Source organism: Homo sapiens, chromosome 7 (assembly GCF_000001405.40).
Source record: "Homo sapiens chromosome 7, GRCh38.p14 Primary Assembly".
NCBI classification, from domain to species: domain Eukaryota; kingdom Metazoa; phylum Chordata; class Mammalia; order Primates; family Hominidae; genus Homo; species Homo sapiens.
Window position 1 is genome coordinate 63,230,252 of NC_000007.14, and position 18,515 is coordinate 63,248,766.

At 41.3% G+C, this 18,515-nt stretch overlaps 2 pseudogenes, besides 1 other annotated feature; both read right to left on the bottom strand.

The window, feature by feature from the left end:
- PHKG1P1 (phosphorylase kinase catalytic subunit gamma 1 pseudogene 1) lies at nucleotides 2,514-3,995 on the bottom strand (annotated as a pseudogene).
- Nucleotides 3,479-3,647: a silencer, noted in NCBI's record as "fragment chr7:62694108-62694276 (GRCh37/hg19 assembly coordinates)". NCBI's record gives its function as "represses an EF-1alpha promoter that drives an FKBP-Casp9 reporter gene in an ReSE screen in K562 erythroleukemia cells {active_cell/tissue: K562}" and the evidence as "EXISTENCE:reporter gene assay evidence [ECO:0000049][PMID:32094911]".
- Nucleotides 11,339-18,070, bottom strand: SEPTIN7P4 (septin 7 pseudogene 4; annotated as a pseudogene).

Sequence of the window (18,515 nt, forward strand, 5' to 3'; positions counted from 1 at the left end):
TGCTTGAGGTCAGGAGGTCGAGACCAGCCTAGTCAACATAACAAAACCACATCTCTATTTAAAAAAAAAAGAAAATAAAAAGAGGCTGGGCGCAGTGGCTCATGCCTGTAATCCCAGCACTTTGGGAGGCCTAGGCAGGTGGATCATCTGAGGCCTAGGCAGGTGGATCATCAGCTTGGGTGACGGAGTGAGACTTCGTTTCAAAAAAAAAAAAAAAAACAAGGCTGGGTGCAGTGTCTCACGCCTGTAATCCATATAGTAGCAAACTTTTAAAAAAAAATAAACCTTTGTTCCTATTTCAGATTGAGGTCAGGAGTTGGAGAGCAGCCTGACAAACACGGTGAAACCCCGTCTCTACTAAAAATATAACAACAACAAAAATTAGCTGGGCCTGGTGGCACGTGCCTGTAGTCCTAGCTACTTGCCAGGCTGAGGCAGGAGAATCACTTGAACCCAGGAGGTGGAGGTTGCAGTGAGCCGAGATTGCACCACTGCACTCCAGCCTGGGATACAGAGCAAGACTCCATCAAAAAAAAAAAAAAAGAAAGAAGAAAGAAAGAAAGAGAGAGAGAGGGAGACAGAGGGAGGGAGGGAGGGAGGGAAAGAGAGAGAGAGAGAGGGAGACAGAGGGAGGGAGGGAGGGAAAGAGAGAGAGAGAAAGAAAGAGAAAGAAAGAAAGAAAAAGAGAAAGAGAAAAAGAAAGAAAAGAAAGAAAGAAAGAAAACATAACAGTTGAGGTTAAATAAAGTAAATTTTTAATTTTTTTCACTTAGTATATCATTACTATCTTCTCTTACAATTAGAAATTTATAAAGTTTTTTAAAATGCCTACACAATAATCCTTTAGGTAAATCAACATAACTTACCAATTAATTTTTTATTGTTGAATGTTTCAGTTTCTTGAAACTTTTCCATATAATGGCCCGGGCATGGTGGCTTTACAGGTGGGATTATGCCTGTAGTCCCAGCACTTTGGGAGGCCAAGGTGGGCGGATCACGAGGTCAGGAGATTGAGACCATCCTGGCTAACACGGTGAAACCCCGTCTCTACTAAAAATATAAAAAATTAGCCAGGCGTGGTGACGGGCGCCTGTAGTCCCAGCTACTCGGGAGGCTGAGGCAGGACAATGGCGTAAACTCGGGAGGCAGAGATTGCAGTGAGCTGAGATTGCACCACTGCATTCCAGCCTGGGTGACAAGAGTGAGACTCCGTTTCAAAAAAAAAAAATCCATATAGTAGTGAACTTTTAAAAAAATAAATAAATATTTGTTCCCATTTCAGATTGTTTTCTTGCACTGGGATCAAGCTGAAAGTATTAACAATCAAAATACTTAGAATTTTGTTGATGAGTTAATGCTAATTATTTCTCAATCTCTACCACTTTTGGGCATGAGCCACCATGCCCGGCCAAAACTCCATTTTAAAAGCCCAATTTTTCACTTCCATTTGCTTCAGTGTTTTTCATCTGTTAAATGGAGTTAATAACAACACCTGCTACATCTACCTCTGGTGATTGTTTTTAGATATGTGATGAAGGGCTGGATGCAGTGGCTCACACCTGTAATTCCAACAATTTGGGAGGCTGAGGTGGGAGGATCACTTGAGCCCAGGAGTAAGACCATCCTGGGCAACACACACCGCATCTCTACTAAAAATTAAAAAAAAAAAATTAGCCCTTCATGGTAGCACACGATTGTAGTCCCAGCTGGTAGGGAGGTTGAGGCAGGAGGATCACTTGTGTGTTCGCTTTCCTAGCTAGTTGCTGTGGAAGGAGAATGCTTTCTTCATGGCCTCATCTGTCATTTCGTGTCCCTCTGAAGAAAACTAGTTTCCACTGTGTAACAGGCAGGCATGAAACTATCTAAAGCACAGTTCAGTCCTAAAAGGTCTGAGAGAACCGAATGATGTACTAGGTGAAGCAGTGCATTGTGGGAATCACAAAGCAAACAGTACTCCAGAAAGACAAATATCAGAAGCTTCCCCTTCCATTTTTTTTCTTTTTTTTTTTTTGAGACAGTGTCTTACTCTGTTGCCCAGGCTAGAGCGCAGTGGTGATCACAGCTCACTGCAGCCTTAAGCTCCTGGGCTCAAGCAATTCTCCCATCTCAGCCTCCTGAGTAGCTGGGACTACAAGTATGCACCACCATGCCTGGCTAACTTTTTGAATTTCTATAGTAATGGGATCTCACTATGTTGCCCAGGCTGGTCTCGAACTCCTGGCCTCAAGCAATTGTCCCACCTCGACCTCCCAAAGTGCTGAGATTACAGGTGTGAGCCACCTCACCTCGGCCCCCTTCTCCATATGCCTCCAGAAACATGTCCCTGGAGAGTAGCCTGCTCCCACACTGTCACTGGCTGTCATGGGGCCAATAAAATCTCCTGCGATTGTGTATCTCAGACATTTCTGTGTCTTTCATCCTCACCCTGGGACCCTAAAGGCAGAGGGCCCGAGTGTCAGTAACTCTGGTCCTCCCCTAAAGAGAAACGGAGATGGTGGCTCATCTAGGAAGTGGAGGAGCAGGGGGTTCCTGGTTCTCAGGCCACGTGTGATCTCTGCCCACCCAGGGCCTGCCCCAGCCTGCAGGTATTGCTGTGTGGTGGGAATACCCGCTTCCCTTGTGCATAGCCTTTGAGAGGGGATCGTGGCCTCAGCTTCACGGGTTCCTGGCCAGGGCCAAGCGCTCCTTCTGCAGAGGCCTGCATGCATCCTACCCCTTTGACTTGTATTTCCGTGGCTTCCCCTCCCCACCTGCCCCCCAGCCCTCCCTGACTGGCCAGCCCCTCAGTAGTCCTCCTCGGCCAGGGAGAGCAGCACGGCCTTGGGTGTGTTCTTGAAAAGGGTTGCCCAGCTCTGCTGCTGCTCCTTCCTCACCCAGGGGCCATAGATTCAGAAAGCGTAGGCGTCGATGAGCCGGCGCAGAGGCTGGAGGGTGTAGGGGTGGGTCTCGGATGACGATCTCCCGGGTCACCGGGTTCACCCGGTGGTACTGGTAGTAGCTCCGCACTGAAGCCACCACAGTCAGAGCGATCACCTGAAGGCCACGCGGAGAAGCTGGGCTGCAGCCCCCGCCCTGCCAGGCCCTGCCCCTCCAGCACAGGACTCTCTGGGCTCATTTGCCACGAAGCCTTCAGTGGCTTCTGCGGGGCCCTCCTAGTGTCCCCCACTTCCCACTTGGCCAGCATCCTCAGGGACGGAGCCAGTGGGCTGACACCTGCCATCTCTGAAGCCATCACAGGGCGGCTGGGAGGGGAGGGGTGGGTACTCTGGAAACCCGCGGGGTATAAGGACCCCTGGGGGAGGAGACGGCTTAGAGGTTTGCACTTGGGGAGCTGGCGGCAACTGCCACAGGGTCTGGGTCAGGAGGCTTCGTACCTTGAACTTCCCCCGGGGGCTGAAGTGCCGCACTTCCTCCACCACGTACTGCAGGAAGAATGGGTGTGCCAAGGCCTCTTCCGCTGTGCAGCAGCTCTGGGGTTGCACCAACAGGAATCGGGAGACCTGGGAGGGAAGGAGAGGGTACCCGAGAAACTTAAGGCAGGTCCCCTCCAGCATGTCAGGAGAGGCGGGGCCTCCCTGGGCAAGGGAGCCTGGCATCGCAGCCCTGAGCCCAGGAGCCAGTCGGCCTTCTCTCTCACCAGGTCCTTCATGGTGTCTGAGTAATCATCCTACTCAGGCGACCCAAACTGGTAGATGCTGCTCATGATCATCCTCAGCATCAGCATCTGCTTCTGGTGCCAGAAGGGTGGGGAGCCAGCCAGCAGCATGTACATGATGACGCCCGTGCTCCACCTGGACGTGAGAGGGCCCAGGGCCACTTACCCAGTGCCAGGGGCACCGACCCAGCCCTGCCTGCTTCCTCCCTCGCCCAGCCCAGGCGGGTGATCCTCCTCCTGGCGCACTCACATGTCCCCTCCTTCCGTAGCCCGGATGGTCCTCATTCATGGAGCACTCCATGATCTCAGGGCCAGGTAACTGGGGGTTCTGCAGACCTCTGCAGGAACAGTCATCATCAGGACAGGTCAGCAGGGCGCTCAGAAGAGGAAGTCCAGGACAGGCGCAGTGGCTCATGTTTATAATCCCAGCACTTTGGGAGGCCGAGGCAGGCAGATCACCTGAGGCCGGGAGTTAGAGACCAGCCTGGCCAACATGGCAAAACCCCATATCTACTAAAAATACAGAAATTAGCTGGGTGTGGTGGCACATGCCTGTAGTCCCAGCTACTCAGGAGGCTGAGGTAGGAGAATCGCTGGAACCTGGGAGGTGGAGGTTGCAGGGAGCCGAGATCACCCCACGACACTCCAGCCTGGGTGACAGAGTGAGACTCCGTCTCAAAAAACAAAACAAAGCAAAAAGTGGAGTCAGCTGAAATACATTTTCAAGTGTAATTTTTTTTTAAAGTTGATGAGATCCTTCTTAATAATATATGCCTCATATTAATGGCAGGTGTTTTTAATATAGTTGCTTCTGATCTCCTGAGCACACCCAGTGTCAGTGACTACCCTGAAACAGCATACCAAATGTGTGTTTGTGTTTGCCAGTATTCTTCCGGTGAAAGGGTCCAAAGCTTTTGCTAGATTTTCAAGGAGTCTATAATTCCCACTGTCCCCTAACACCCCAAAAATCTTTTTTAGGCTCCAGAAAAGAAAAAATCTAAAAATGATTTTTAATTGCTAACCTTTAGTAACTGAATATGTGTATTTAAGCAACTTAATATTATTCAACAATATAACTGTGATTGTAAATACATTAAATTAGAAATCAGAGAGAATTAAATATCTATTCCTACTTACATAACTCATCTATAAAATGTTTATTTTACTTTATCCTTGGGAAGGAGCAGGTAATTTTGCCACCTAAATTATTATTTAAATAACTCTAGGGGGAAAATAAGAGACTGCAGGGAAAACATGCAATGATGTTTCAAAATCTTCTTTTAGGCTGGGCACAGTGGCTCACACCTGTAATCCCAGCACTTTGGGAGGCCGAGGCAGGCAGATCACAAGATCAGGAGTTCGAAACCAGCTTGGCCAACATGGTGAAACCCCGTCTCTACTAAAAATACAAAAATTAGCTGGGCATGGTGGTGCAAGCCTGTAATCCCAGCTACTTGGTAGGCTGAGGCAGGAGAATTGCTTGAACCCAGGAGGCAGAGGTTGCAGTGAGCCAATATTGTATCACTGAACTCCAGCCTGGGTGACAGAGCAGGACTCCATCTCAAAGAAAAAGAAAAAAATCTTCTTTTAAATTCAAAATTTAAATATTAAAAATCCCTGTATAGTAAAAACTGCTATGTCTTTGGAAAAACAATCCCCCGCCTTACATGCCTTCAACTGTATCAAATCTAAAGGAACAAAAATTAGTGATTTAGCGCATTTAAAGTAAAGCATGCTAAAAGCTTCAATTAAAAGCAAATGCATAGCTTTCACAATTAAATTACTAAGGTATGTGCCCTAAATAAAAAAAAAATTACAGTAAAATTTGCTAAAGCTAATTTATTTCCCAAATTACTTTCATAATCATTACACTAAATCACTATGAAAATAAATATGCTGTGCGATTGTCTTCTGAAAGTCTGTTCAAAGTTCTAAACCTGCTAAATGTGTGTACTTTCTAAAAGAAATCTGCAATATCTAACAGCTAAGATACTGTAAGATTTTAGCCTTGTAAAAATAATCTGACCAAATATACTCAAATACCGTGAAAAAATGTTCATTCATGCATATTTAAAATGAATTTTTTGAAGTCTCTCACCAGTAAAAATTATCTTTCAAATTTTTAACTTTTAAACTAACACCTCACTTCTAGTCATCTTGATTAATTTTTAAAAAATCAAAACAAACAATTGTGCTTACAATATAGAAAATGTAGGGAGATCACTTTTTGTCTTCACATTTACTATTTTGTTCCAAGTAAAACCTTTTATTAAATGGCTGGAAAAACCATTTCAGTTATATCATTGTCTGCCTGCTTTTTAATAGGAAACTCTTACCCACACACATATAGTAGTAAAGCTTACAAACCTACCAGCGAAATTAAAAACCCAGACAAAGTAATGGAAAAAGCCTAGTAAAACAAGAAAAAGAAAATGGTAACAACATAACCTGAATATGAAACTAAATCCCCAAAGATTTAGCTCCTTCTAGGGTTGTCTTTATAAGGTTAAAATTCTTGCAAGCCACACCCCTTCATGTGACCAATAAAATTAGAGCCACCACAGAAGGATGACCTAGTCAAGTTCTACTTTGCTGCATTACACATGACCCACATTTGGAGTGTAATAAAAGACAATCATGTTTCATTTAAATTATGTGTGGTGGTCTTTCCTAAAGAACACAGTAAGCAAGTAGATTTACATACTTTTGCTCCAGTGGTTAGTAGGTCACTACGTGCAAAATTTTCCAAAGGAATTTCACTTAAATAATTTCAAAGATCAGCAGGGTGCGGTGGCTCACGCCTGTAATCCCAGCACTTTGGGAGGCTGAGGTGGGTGGATCACGAGGTCAGGAGATTGAGAGCATCCTGGCTAACACGGTGAAACCCCGTCTCTACTAAAAATACAAAAAAGTAGCTGGGTGAGGTGGTGGGCGCCTGTAGTCCCAACTGCTCGGGAGGCTGAGGCAGGAAAATGGCATGAACCTGGGAGGCGGAGGTTGCAGTGAGCCAAGATTGCTCCACTGCACTCCAGCCTGGGTGACAGAGCAAGACTCCATCTCAAAAAAAAAAAAAAAAATTTCAAAGATCAATAAAAATTTCCAAAAATTTTGAGTAATAATGGTTGCCAACATCTTGTTTTGCCAAGTAAGAGTATTAAAACCAAACATAAACAAAACTCCAACTACTATCATTATAATTTCATGAAAGGACACTTGAATAAAGAGTAAAAGATACATCTGAGTAAGTTTAATTTTTTAAAACAACTTGAAATTTTCAGAAAATTGTCTTTATTTCTATTTAGATCAATGAAAACTCTTGTCATGTATCAAGAATTCTGAGGATCTACCTTTGAAACTTGTATTTTTAGTCATTCACTTATAAAGTTTTCCCAAGATGACTGATGGAGAAGGCTATAAAGAAGAGAAAAATAAATTAACATAAAGGAAAGAGAGACTAGGGTTTGCCCCAACTTGGAGCAAGGTATCTATTGTCACAATTGGTACCAATGATAGACATCAGTTCTGAAAAAGAGTCACCAATCAAATGTGACTTTAAGTAAAGGGTACAAGGAAGATCAAGGAAAAAGGAGGCAGATAAAACTTCAAGAAGGACATTTAGCAAACAGAATAAAAAAGAGATGGCCCTCCTCTTATTGGGGATCACTTCCTTTAAGAGATCAGCAATCTGGATATGACCAACTCTTCTCCCCTTTCCTTTACAAACCCTTGCTGAATTTTCTTTGATTTCAGAGGTTACCATTTCTGTGGCTTCCAACCACCCACTAACCTCCATACAGGGATGCAAGATACATTCTCTAAGGATATAAGAAGCACTTAGATGGCTCCATACTTTCTTTGTCAGAAACAGGTAATTACTGGATAGCTGCTAAGAATAGCATCCACTTCTCCAGATCTAACCTTGAGACGAATTATAGCTGACTGGACAAGTTCAGCTAGTCTTCAGATTTAAACCACACAATCTAATTCTTCAGATTTAAACCACACAATCTAATTCTTGTTTTAAGTCCCTCTAAAATAGAATTGTTCTAGGACTCTTGACATAAAAGAAAGGCACATTTTCAGACATCTACACTTATATTTTTAATTTTAATTTTAATTTTTTATCTTGTTTATTATACTTTAACTTCTAGGGTACATGTGCACAACGTGCAGGTTTGTTACATATGTATACATGTGCCATGTTGGTGTGCTGTACCCATTAACTCGTCATTTAACATTAGGTATATCTCCTAATGCTATCCCTCCCCCCTCCCCCCACCCCACAACAGGCCCCGGTGTGTGATGTTCCCCTTCCTGTGTCCATGTTTTCTCATTGTTCAATTCCCACCTATGAGTGAGAATATGCGGTGTTTGGTTTTTTATTTCATGTTTCAATAGACTCTACAGTTTGCCCAAAACTACCTCAGAAAATTTAGATATAAGATAAATTGATCTACAGTCATGCATTGCTTAAAAATTGAGGCACATTCTGAGAAATTCATGTGTCATTGTGGGAACAACACAGAGTGTACTTACACAACCCTAGATAGTATAACCTACTACACACTTAGGCTCTATGGTATGACATCATAATATTATGGGAATTTGTCGTATATGCAGTCAGTCATTGACTGAAACATCGTTATATGGCACATGAATGTATTTTACTATTCAATATCTAACATCTTTAAAACCAAAGTGTGGCTTATATTTTAAAACCAAAGTGTGATTAGCACTTTGTGAAGCATACATTGCCAAAGATCAATTTAAGTATAAATTTTCAATAGGTTCACCTTCCATGCCAAAATTCTTGCAACTCTCAACCCCTCGTCACTACCACTGTCAAAGAATATATTGTTATGGAGAGTCACATGAGAGCAATACAGAAAGAACATTAAAAGAAGCCTAAACTCACACCTGCTTACTTCACTTATTTAAACATTAGTCTTTCTTTTCAGTTATTCATGGATATGTACTGAGCTATGAGGAAAAGCACCTTACTCTGCTAAAGCACCATAAGTTGTTAATGATTTTTAAAGAAAAATTTAACAAAAATATTCTTTGAAATTGCTAACATTTTCAAGACAATGTAAGATACAACCAATAGATAAAACTTCTAAGTGATTTCTTTCAGATTCAGTATGTGTTATTCAATGAAGTAGTAACAATCTAATTTATCAAATCATATCAAATATCTATTCCAATTACAGACATTCCCCAGTTGGTTTTATCTTCTGAAATGTTTATTTTCCTACTTATTATTAACATAAAATATTATGCTAGCTCCTGGAGCAATTTGCGTTTTAGCAATGCAAACATTTTTTATATTTGCATAGGCAAAGTATGGTCATGATTCCTCTCTTTAAGAGATATATTTCCAGTAGAATTCTATTTGTGTTTTCACCTGGGATATAGTTTGACTCACGTATCCACACAGTAGAATTTTGTATATGCAGAAAAAAACTTCATGATACTGTAAAGTTTACAATTTTTCTCTGAATTATCTTACCTGCATCCAACAGCACTACTTTAAAAAGCCTTATATGGCCAAGCACAGTGGCTCACGCCTGTAATCCCAGCACTTTGGAAGGCCGAGGCAGGCGGACCACGAGGTCAGCAGATCGAGACCATCCTGGCTAACATGGTGAAACCCGTCTCCACTAAACAAAATACAAAAAATTAGCTGGGCGTGATGGCAGGCGCCTGTATTCCCAGCTATTCGGGAGGCTGAGCACAGGAGAATGGCATGAACCCGGAGGTGGAGCTTGCAGTGAGCTGAGATCGCACCACTGCACTCCAGCCTGGGCGACAGAGTGAGACTCCGTCTCAAAAGAAAAAAAAAAGCCTTATATTTGAGACACGGGGACAAATAAACAATTCCTTATATCTACAACATAACAAACATTTTAAAAATATATTGAATAAGTACATATATTTAACAAAAAATATGTACTGGTAGTATTTTAACATAAAAATTATCAGTAGCTTTGTGTATGTGTTTCTTTTAATGAGTTAAAAAGTTCATCGTTACTGATAATGAGTTTAAAGTGAATTAAGATTTTATGAACAATATTCACTATGATGGATGCTTACATTTTTTGCCAAAGTTGCTCAATAAAGATTTTGCTCAAAAGAGATAAAAAGCCTTCCTTTTGTTCACATATTGAGGCTTACCTCAAACAGAATCTTGTATTTTAAATATTTAAGAAGGGACATTTTTCTATTCCATTATAAGGCATGTTAACCACTATGGAAAACACTATAGCTACTTTCAGAACTTGTCTTTCGTATACATGTAGTTGATCCTTTAGGATTTTCGTCTAATGGTAGATAACACCTAGCTACAAATGCCCATTATTTAAAATGGTTTTGTAATACAGATACGCACTGCATAATGACATTTCAGTCAACAAGGGACTGCATATATGATGGTGGCCCCTAGGAACTGAAAAATTCCTGCTGCCCGGTAGCATCTTGATGATCTTGACCCTGAGTAGGCCTAGGCTAATGTGTAAGTTTATGTCTTTATTTTTAACAAAAAAAAAGTTTGAAGTGAAAAAAGAAAGAACTTTTAAAATAGAAAAAAGCTTATAGAATAAAGATTATAAAGATAATATTTTTGTACATCTGTTCAATGTGTTTCTGTTTTAAGCTAAGTGTTACTACAAAAGAATCAAAAAGTTTTTTAAAATTTAAGTTACTATAAAAGTTACAGCAAAATAAGATTATTAAAGACAAATTTAAAAAATAAATTTAGTATAGCCCAAGTGTACAGTGTTAATAAAGTCCACAGTAGTGTACAGTAATGTCCTAGGCCTTCACATTCACTCACCACTCACTCACTGACTCATCCAGAGCAACTTCCTGTCCTGCAAGCTCCATTCACAACAAGTGCCCTATACACATATCCCATTTTTAATCTTTTATACTGTATTTTACTGCACCTTTTCTATGTTTAGATACACAAATACTTAACATTATGTTACAACTGTCTATGACATTCAGTACAGTAACACGCTATATAGGTTTATAGCCTACAAGCAATAGCTAGAGCACATAACCTAGGTGTGTAGAAGGCTCTACCATCTAGGTTTGTGTAGGTACACTCTATGATGTTTACAGAATGACGAAATAGCCCAATGACACATTTCTCAGAATATCCCCATTGTTAAGTGACATATGGTGTAATTATGATCTTCAGTAATGACAAATTTTTTAAAAGGAGGGCACAGACATGGTTACCAGCTTCCTCACACATCTCTTTTTTCGACCCCCACATAAAAACACCACAGCTTGAGATACAAGCTCAATAGGACAAAGCTACACAATTCGTAGTCACTTACACCACTCTAACAACCAAAAGAAGAAACCAAAACTCCAGCTAATTTACTCCCTGGAATAGGATTAGAGAAGGTAAGCAAGAATAAATTCATCTACATATTCCTTTTATTAAAGCCTGTCCTTTGTTTCCACACAATCTGTAAGTGAAAACTCCATCAAAATGGTTCATTCAAAAAAGTGTCTACTATTAACAAAGCATAACAATATACATTTATGCTGTTGTGCATAGAGAACATTATCCAAATTTTCTACTGAGGAGCCAGGAGAAATTTAATGAAAATGAAACAATATGATTATTGACTACAGAAAGAATACCTTTTTTGGAGAAAAAATATATACTTACTTAGTCAGCTGCCCTTTATTCTTGTTGTTATCAACTCCATTGTAAGTCACAGCTGCCAGTTTTCTGCTTCCATAGTTCTCGCAGTGGACATTGTTAGTAACATCTTTCAAGTCCTGCATGTGTGTTCTGTCATAAATAAACAGCAAGAGTTTGCTTCTGTTAATAGCTAGGGGGCATAAAGCTAAAAAAGCTTTAATATAAATTCAAAATTTTACCAAAACAAAAATTTCAGATTTAAAATTAACAAAAGACTATTGTTAAGGAAGGTAGCATTCATCTGTTTTCATTTACACTCAAAGTAGACCAATAAAAAATAAGCTAACTTGACACCAAATTTAGATTCCATAGAGATTTTAAGACCCATAGCAAGGACTTCATGACTAAAACACCGAAAGCAGTGGCAACAAAAGCCAAAATTGACAAATGGGATCTAATTAAACTAAAGAGCTTCTGCACAGCAAAAGAAACTACCATCAGAGTGAACAGGCAACCTACAGAATGGGAGAAAATTTTTGCAATCTACCCACCTGACAAAAGGCTAATATCCAGAATCTACAAAGAACTCAAACAAATTTACAAGAAAAAGCAAACAACTCCATCAAAAAGTAGGCAAAGGATATGAACAGACACTTTTCAAAAGAAGACACCTATGCAGCCAACAGACACATGAAAAAATGCTCATCATCACTGGTCATCAGGGAAATGCAAATGAAAACCACAATGAGATACCATCTCACACCAGTTAGAATGGCAATCATTGAAGTCAGGAAACAGCAGATGCTAGAGGGGGTGTGGAGAAATAGGAACACTTTTACACTGTTGGTGGGAGTGTAAATTAGTTCAACCATTGTGGAAGTCAGTGTGGTGATTCCTCAAGGATCTAGAACTAGAAATACCATTTGACCTAGCCATCCCATTACTGGGTATATACCCAAAGGATTATAAATCATGCTACTATAAATCATGCACACGTATGTTTATTGTGGCACTATTCACAATAGCAAAGATGGAACCAACCAAAATGTCCACCAATGATAGACTGGATTAAGAAAATGTGGCACATATACACCATGAAATACTATGCAGCCATAAAAAAGGATGAGTTCATGTCCTTTGTAGGGACATGGATGAAGCTGGAAACCATCATTCTCAGCAAACTATCACAAGGACAGAAAACCAAACACTGTATATTCTCACTCATAGGTGAGAATTGAACAATGAGATCACTTGGACACAAGGCGGGGAACGTCACACACGGGGGCCTGACAAGAGGTGGAGGGCTGGGGAAGGGATAGCATTAGGAGAAATACCTAATGTAAATGATGAGTTGATGGGTGCAGCAAACCAACATGGCACATGTATACCTATGTATCAAACCTGCACGTTGTGCACATGTACCCTAGAACTCAAAAGTATAATAAAAAAAAAGAAAAGAAAAAGAAAAGAGAAAGAGAAATGGGCATAGGAGGGAAGACTTTCTTCTAGGGCATTTGAGATTGTCAAGCCCAGATGACAGGCACCACCTTTCCACCTTATGCCTCATTAATGGAAACAACACAAAGCCCAGATCTAAGGCAGAGCTTCCCAACTATGGGCCTGCATCTCAATCTTCACCTTCCAGGAACCAGGCAGTGTCTTCTGGGCTGATTACTTCCAGTTTACCTCATTGTGATGTCCAAATATTATAGCTCCCCTCTCCATGATGATCATGGAAAATATCAGTGGCTCCAAATTCCAATTGTTTCACCTTAGAAAACAAATCTGAGAATCCCCCTACCACCAAGCACAGTACCTGGATACAACAGGCACTCAATAAATATTTGCTCAGCCAATGCAAGGATAAATGAATGAAATTCCTCATCCCTGTATTCATTTCTGAATACGTGCTGGTGAAAATCTAGCTCTAAACATCTTTCAGATTTAGTACATTGAGGTATGAAAAAGAAAAAATAAAAGGACGATGCAAACGAAGTCAGGAGCTGGCACAGAAAGTGCAATCAGATTCTGCTTCCCCTGTAATTAAGAGTGCCCAATGCCGCTGACTTAGGCGATGACAGCGTGCAGCTTGCCTGCCCGCCCTGGGCGCCTGGGAGGGCGGGCAGCCCTCAGGATGCCGCTGCACAACACGTTCGCCACCTTATCAAGAATTCCACAGCCACAGGAAGATTTTTCACCCCGCCATAACCCCCGCGGGCTGCCCTGTGCTGTCACATGTCCCCGCTGCTCAGAGAGAGAAAGCCACTAGGGAGGCCCTCAATGGAAATATTACCCCCTATCCAGGCTAGCATGGGCTTGATCGCCCCTGATTATTTCTGATCACTGTCACTGGGCCAAGAGCACAGCGAAGTCAAGAAAGAAATGGCCTTATTAGTGAGAACGCAGCGGTATGGGTAGGCAGTGGCGTGGAGGACCTGCTTTTGTGAGGGCAGTGAAGAGAGGGGAAGGAGTGGTGTCTTTATATTGAGATATTTTGAGATTCCTGCTTTCTCCACTCACTTCAACTGCCCAAATAGGTTCTGCAGGTTCCGGAAGGTTCTAGAACTTGTACAGGACCGAACCTACAGCTTCTCATGGAACAAACCCAGAACCAAGAAAATCTGGCGGAAATCACCTTGTTTAACTCCTTTGAGGTCTAGACCAGAAATTAAATAGTGCTTAATCTGTTACTTTAAAGAAGCCTAGTTCTAACTTTACCTCAGCTCGCTCCCTCTTTTGCCTAGGATAGGAAGGGTGGGTGCAAATGGTCAGCTCCCTGTAGGTCAGCCTCTTGGAGCCCTAAGTTTCCTGCCACTTCTATGCACTATGGGCTTTGCCCAGGGTGGGATCCTCAGCCCAGGGACCTTGTTTGTCCTCCGCCTCTTGATGCTGGTGCCTGCTGCCCAGCCACATACCCTCAGATTCATTTTTAAAGAAACGTCAACAGCTGTTAAATGGCAAATGAGCCTTTCAAAGAGGTGGGATGACTTTGAAAAAGGGCTTGAGGACAGCAGTCGACCTCTGACCGTCTCCCCTCAGATGCCCTCTCCATCCCACGCTCTCTCCCTGTCCCCGACCTCTGCTTTCCCAGCGAGCCTGCCTGCTCTTCAACGCTCCTCCCTGCCCGCTTGTGCTGTCTCAACACCTCCCATGTTGCTTGGTTCCTAAAATAACATAGAGGAAAACTTTTTTTTTTTTTTTTTTGAGACGGAGTCTCCCTCTGTCGCCAGGCTGGAGTGCAGTGGTGCAATCTCGGCTCCTTGCAACCTCCGCCACCTGGGTTCAAGTGATTCTCCTGCCTCGGCCTCCTGAGTAGCTGGGACTACAGGCGTGTGTCACCACACCTGGCTACTTTTTGTATTTTTTTTTTTTGAGACGGAGTCTGGCTCTGTCGCCCAGCCTGGAGTGCAGTGGAATGATCTCTGCTCACTGCAAGCTCAGCCTCAGGGTTCATGCCATTCTCCTGCCTCAGCCTCCTGAGTAGCTGGGACTACAGGCGCCCGCCACCACGCCCTGCTAATTTTTTGTATTTTTAGTAGAGACGGGGTTTCACCGTGTTAGCCAGGACCTTGACCATCTCTTGACCTTGTGATCCACCCGCCTCGGCCTCCCAAAGTGCTGGGATTACAGGCGTGAGCCACTGCGCCCGGCCAAAAATATTTTTTTAAATAAAGAAAATAAATCCTCGGCTGGGTGCGGTGGCTCACGCCTGTAATCCCAGCACTTTGGGAGGTGGAAGCGGGCAGATCACAAGGTCAGGAGATCGAGACCATCCTGGCTAACACGGTGAAACCCCGTCTCTACTAAAGATAAAAAAATTAGCCTGGCGTGGCGGCATGCGCCTGTAGTCCCAGCTGCTGGGGAGGCTGAGGCAGGAGAATGGTGTGAACCCGGGAGGCGGAGCTTGCAGTGAGCCGAGATTGTGCCACTGCGCTCCAGCCTGGGCAACCGAGCAAGACTCTGTTTCAAAAAAAATAAAACCCCATAAATCTCCCAAAGCAGTTACTGAAGGATGACCTTTCTATGAAAGAGTGTTCTTTATATTATCTATTTAAATACTAGACAAGAAACTGTAGATTAGCTACTACTGAAGCTCATAAAATCTAAAAGAAACTGCCTTTTAGCAATATTACTAAGGTAATATGTGAGTTTTTATTAATACATAATAATATATTTCAGATCACATATCAAGTTGTTTTCAAACTAGGGAATTTTAGAATAAATTTCTGTTTCTTCGAATTGTCTAGGTGAATGTGGTATTTTGGTTAAACAAATTTTTGTTTATAGCATTTCTATCATATATAAAATCAGTACATATGAGATAAATCCACAATACATATGGGATGATGTCATCATTATTTAATAATTCAAGACACTGAAGATACCCTCAGCTGCTCTATGGATATCCTTTACCAATGCAGTGTTCTTGGATATACGTGGGGTGGCAATACTCTGTATTGTCAGTCCTCCCTCTTTTCATCATGTATTCTATTTCAAACTTCCTATATCTGCCATCATTCATCTTCACCACGTTACTAAAACTCCCTTCTGGGAGACAAACATAAAGGTGTATTGTTGGCTGGGTGTGGTGGCTCACGCCTGTAATCCCAGCACTTTGGGATGCCAAGGCATGTGGATTACATGAGCTGAGGAGTTTGAGACCAGCATGGCCAACATGGTGGAACCCCATCTCTACTAAAAATACAAAAATCAGCCAGGTGTGGTGGTGGGCACCTGTAATCCCAGCTGCTTGGGAGGCTGAGGCAGGAGAATTGCTTGAACCCAGGAGGTGGAGGTTGCAGTAAGCCAAGATCGTGCACTGCACTCCAGCCTGGGTACAAGAGTGAGACTCCATCTCAAAAAAAAAGTGTATCATTGTACATTTTTATCATTCCTTACATCCAGAAAACCCTTACTGTTACTTTACAATCCAGCTTCTTGAATCTCCCCCTTTGTGAATAAAATGTGATATTCAATTACTCTGATTCATATCGTACTGACATTTGCATGCAACTCTCTGATAGTTCACTCCCCTTAGTCCTAAGTCTGGGTTTTCCAAAAATCTCATCTCCCAGACTCTGTCCCTTGATAAATTCATGTTCTCTTATAGCCACAACAGTTACTTCTAAAGCTCTACCACTCCACTTCGGGCACGTCAGGCAAAATAAATAAGCAGGTGGGATCAAGATTTTACAGCACAATTTTGCAGGTAATTTTAAATCTCAAGCCCTATGAAGGTTACCCAAAAAATCCTATAATAGAGAGGAACATTAAAAAGGAGAAATAAGATATTCACTTCGCAAAATTACTCCTTTGGGATTCTAGTTACTAAACTCCATCTTGCAGTTTGATATGTATGAGTTACTGCCCAGAATATACAGACAGTCCTTCCATCCTGTGCACTGGGATGATCACTTCCACTTCTTCAAATCCAGCTAAAAGCATCACTGCCTCCATGAAGCCTACTCCAGCCAGAATTGTTCACTTGCCTCCTCTCTGCTCATGTCCTATATATTACACAAGCAGAGGTCACCAACAGTATTTTTCATCAACAGTTTAGAGCAGTGCTGCCAAATAAAAATACCATGTCAATCATACAAGTAATTTAAAATTTTCTTAGTAGCCACTTTTAAAATAGGAAAAAGGTGAAATTAATCAATTTTATTTAACCTGATACATCCAAAACATGATCACTACAGTATACGATCAATATAAAAAATTATGGAGATTTTTTTCCATGCTCAGTCTTAGAAATCGGTGGTATATTTTATATTTGCAGAACATCACAATTCAGACTACCCACATTTCAAAGATTAATAGCCGTATGTGGCTACAGGCTGCTGTACTATTTAATAAAAAGTGCATATCTAGAGTCTAGCCCTTTGCTCTATAAAGTGTGATCTACCATCCAGCAGCATCAGCATCACCTGGGATCTTGTTAGAAATGTAGAAACACAGCCCATCTCAGAACTACTAGAAGAACTAAATTTAACAGGATGCCCAGGATTGGAATGCATAGCAAAGACTGAGAAGCAGTAAATTAGATCACATATACCTTGGGAGTCTTACAGAATTGCTATTGCTATTCAACTATGATATGGCATTACCCCACTGACTAATATAGAACACTGTATTTAAATAACAATAGCTTTTCTATGAATCATGTTTTCTCTACACTGTCCAATGCAATTTTCTGAAATGATGAAAATCTTCGTATATGTGCTGCACAAAATGGCAGCCACTTGCCACATGTGGCTGTTGAGCACTTGAAATGTATCTGGAGCAAAAGAGAAATTGCATTTTTAATTTAATTCATTTAACTGATGTAAACATTTGGCAAATGACTATCATACTAGATAGTACAACTCCAGGAGAATTGGTTACTATGTCACAGTTTCATCTCTAGGAGAGTCCTTAGGACAAATTTGGAAAGTTCTAGTCAAGATAATTCTTCTGATTAACTGTACTTCTTTTTTTTAATGTTATGAAGTCATATTTACCATCTTACACTGGCTAAGGGCAAATTTGCATCTTACCTCTAAGGAAGGATAATAAAAGTTACAACATGTGCTTTGTATGTATTAATATTATTCCAGCTTATCATCAATTAACAATACTAATATCCATACCTGTACAGTCTTTTTAGTTCTATGAGAAGGACCTGGGTACTCTGGAGAATACAAATCTGTGAGGAATAATGAGTTGATTAATGTCGACTTTCCCAATCCAGATTCCCCTAAAAGAAATAAGGGAAAATATCTGTTAAACTCACCCATTTTACCCAACCTTAAATATTCAACAGATGCTATAATCCAACTTGCTTTATGCAAGTACTTCTTGGTGAGACAATGAAATGACATTAGAAAATATGCTACAAAGAGTATCTTGTCCTCAGTTTCTTAGCTATCAAATTAGACTCATGTTTCCAAGGATTCTTTTCAGCCTTCTAATTATACTTATATTCATTAAAAGTAATGTATCTAATAATTTACATTTTTAACAGTAATGTGTTCCCAAGGAAAAACTTCAGTCATTTAAAAAAAAATCCAAGTTGGATTATGTATCACTGCTTCAGTGAAATAAAGTTTTTCTTTATTAATAGACAATAATGGATGACCAAAAGAAATCATGCAGCTACAAAAAGCAAAAATCTGCTAATACAAAGAATAATTAATCACAATGAACATCTCCACATAAAAT